Source organism: Homo sapiens, chromosome 17 (assembly GCF_000001405.40).
Source record: "Homo sapiens chromosome 17, GRCh38.p14 Primary Assembly".
Classification (NCBI taxonomy): domain Eukaryota; kingdom Metazoa; phylum Chordata; class Mammalia; order Primates; family Hominidae; genus Homo; species Homo sapiens.
In genome coordinates, this window is record NC_000017.11 from 47501391 (window position 1) to 47504386 (window position 2996).

Sequence of the window (2996 nt, forward strand, 5' to 3'; positions counted from 1 at the left end):
TTTTTTTTGAGAACGGAGTTTCACTCTTGTTGCCCAGGCTAGTGTGCAATGGCTCGATCTCGGCTCACCGCAACCTCGGCCTCCCAGGTTCAAGCAATTCTCTTTCCTCAGCCTCCCGAGTAGCTGAGATTACAGGCATGCACCACTACGCCCGGCTAATTTTGTATTTTTAGTAGAGACGGGGTTTCCCCATGTTGAGTCTGGTCTCGAACTCCTGACCTCAGGTGATCCGCCTGCCTCAACCTCCCAAAGTTCTAGGATTACAGGTGTGAGCCACCGCGCCCGGCCCCTTGAAAAGCTTTTAAGAAGTCTCTACTATTTGGACATCATTTTGCTTTCTTCATTTTGATTACTTCAAATCAAAGAAAGCTTGGCATAATGAAATTCGTGGGGGCTCTGGCAACTGATGTAGATCTTGCTCCACTATTTCCAAACTTTATTAGCCAATTACTTAAGTCATCTGCATTTCAGTGCAAACCCATCTGTGGAATGGAGATAATTTCACAGATGGGTACACTGAAATGCAGAGAACTTACCTCATAGAGGAGTTGTGAACGTAAGTAAAATCATATATGGAAACAGGTAACTTGGTAGATTGTAGGTGCCTAAAACCGTTTTTGCACTGGCCTATTATAAACTGGGAATTGAGATGTTGAGGAGAGAAAGATGGATTTGCAGGCACTGAATACCTCCAAACAAGAGACGTGACCTTTTGTCATTTTGCTCTTAAGGCTTGCAGGTTTCCAGGCTAGCGCTGCAGGGCACACCCCAGCCTTATCCTTCAGCTGTGTTCTGTCATCTGCAACAGCCCAGCCATGTGGTTCTGCCCTTTTCCCATCCTGATTTCTCTGGAGGTGAGTTTAGTTTCTACTTCCTACTCGCCTCCTGGATGAAAAGTCTCATGTATGGTGTTTTGCCCTGTGCTTTCTGAAGTGTCACATCTCCACCTAGCTCTGCTCTGCCTTTTTCCTCTCATCTCTCCAACAGTCACTTCTGGGGTGGAATGTGCCATCTGTTTCTGAAACTGAGCAGAAGTTTGGGAAAGGGGGAGGGACAGCCATGTCCAGGGCTTGCGTGTCAGCAGACACGTTACAGCTGCTGCAGGGCAAACCAGGGTGAAACCACAAGCCAGAGGACCCAGGGCAGGCAGCCGTGAGGCCCGCCCCTCGGCTTCTCTCTCATCTGTCTCACCCAGAGGTTTCCTGGCAGGAGTGGGAGAGGTTGGTATCGAGTCCTTGAGCCCTGACTCATTCCCTGACCTAGTTGGGTGTTACCCAGTTATCTCCTAAATCTCTCTCCAGGGCCCTCTGTTAGCAACACAACAGTATCATCCTAGACAGAAGACGCAGGAGGAAAGCAGACTACCTATTTATCTCATTCCCTTCTGAGGGTCCCAACAACAACCAGGAGGTTTACAGGTTACATTGCTTATAAAATGACCAAAATCATCCCATAGAGCTACACTAAGAGATTGGCTACTTTCCAGATTTCTCTATAGAAACAATCATGCTTAACTTTCTCAAAAAAAAGAATAAAATCATTATTTTATTTTACTTGGGCAGGGGAAGGGACTGAAACACTGAACCAGGAAGTGACTGGTGATTATCACACAGTGAATCAGGGGCCTAACTAGGGACATAACTCAGGTTTCCTAACCCCACCCCAAATTCCATTCTTTCCCTCAGCTTAGTTACTTATGGACTACAGTAATGTCCTGGGCTTTCTGGACTTTACCAAAGTTCTTGTAATTGTCAAATTCCTGAGGGTTGGATAGGAAGCTGATTCTGTGATGCTTCTGGGCTTCACATGTATCTCTTTCACAGTTTGTCCTGTAGAAAACGTGAGATATATATTTGTTGCCTCCTGGACGGGTTGCCAAAAACACTTTAGATGTTATTCTTAGATTCAAAGAAGACCAATGTGATCCTAAGGTTAGATCTCAGAGACAGAATATTCCATTTTTAAATCATTTGTTGCTGTTCAAGATCCTCATATCTTTATGAGTCACTGTACCAGTAGATGCTGAAAATTATTTTCTTACCCTCCCTTTATTCAGAGGTCCCCATCTGGGCTGGGTGTGGTGGCTCGCACCTGTAATCCCAGGGCTTTGGGAGGCTAAGGCAGGTGGATTGCTTGAGGCCAGGAGTTCGAGACCGGCCTGGCCAAAATGGTGAAACCCTGTCTTTACTAAAAATACAAAAATTAGCCAGGCATGGTGGCAAACGCCTGTAATTCCAGCTACTCGGGAAGCTGAAGCATGAGAATCACTTGAATTTGGGAGTTGGAGGTTGCAGTAAACCGAGATTGTGCCACTGCACTCTGTGTAACAGAGACTCTGTCTCAAAAAAAAGATCCCAGTCTCAGCTGGGCACGGTGGCTCACGCCTATGATCCCAGCACTTTGGGAGTCTGAGGCGGGCAGATCACCTAAGGTCGGGAGTTTGAGACCAGCCTGACCAACATGGTGAAACCCAGTCTCTACTAAAAGTACAAAAATTAGCCGTGTTTGGTGGCCGGCACCTGTAATCCCAGCTACACGGGAGGCTGAGGCAGGTGAATTGCTTGAAGATGAGAGGCAGAGGTTGCAGTGAGCCGAGATCGCGCCACCGCACTCCAGCCTGGGCGACAGAGCGAGACTCCATCTCAAAAAAAAAAAAAAAAGGTCCCAGTCTCTCCTTAACTAGGGTCATGCTTCTAAAGACATTAGCTGGTTTCCAAGAAAGCAGATTTTAGCTTTATCTGTTGGCAGAGAAAACAGAGTCATTGCACACAGGCCAGAACATTCTTTCTGCCAGAGCTCCCCATCTGGAAGAAAAGAGAAAGAGTTTCAGAGTTTCCATAAGGGCTGCCTAAAGGGGAGGAAGAGAGAGGGAGCCATAGGGAGGGAAGAAGAACGTTACAGGGCTGCAATCCCAAGCCTAATAGTCTGAAAAGAAAATCAGATACTGCAGGCCTGAAAACCTGGGTCAGCATTGCCACACCTCTCCCCTCTACCTA

At 46.9% G+C, this 2996-nt stretch overlaps 1 annotated feature.

Moving 5' to 3' along the window:
• Positions 628 to 1827: an enhancer, noted in NCBI's record as "P300/CBP strongly-dependent group 1 enhancer chr17:45579384-45580583 (GRCh37/hg19 assembly coordinates)". NCBI's record gives its function as "activates an origin of replication core promoter dependent on BRD2, BRD4, P300/CBP, MED14 and CDK7 cofactors, with strong dependence on P300/CBP, by STARR-seq in HCT116 cells {active_cell/tissue: HCT116}" and the evidence as "EXISTENCE:reporter gene assay evidence [ECO:0000049][PMID:35650434]".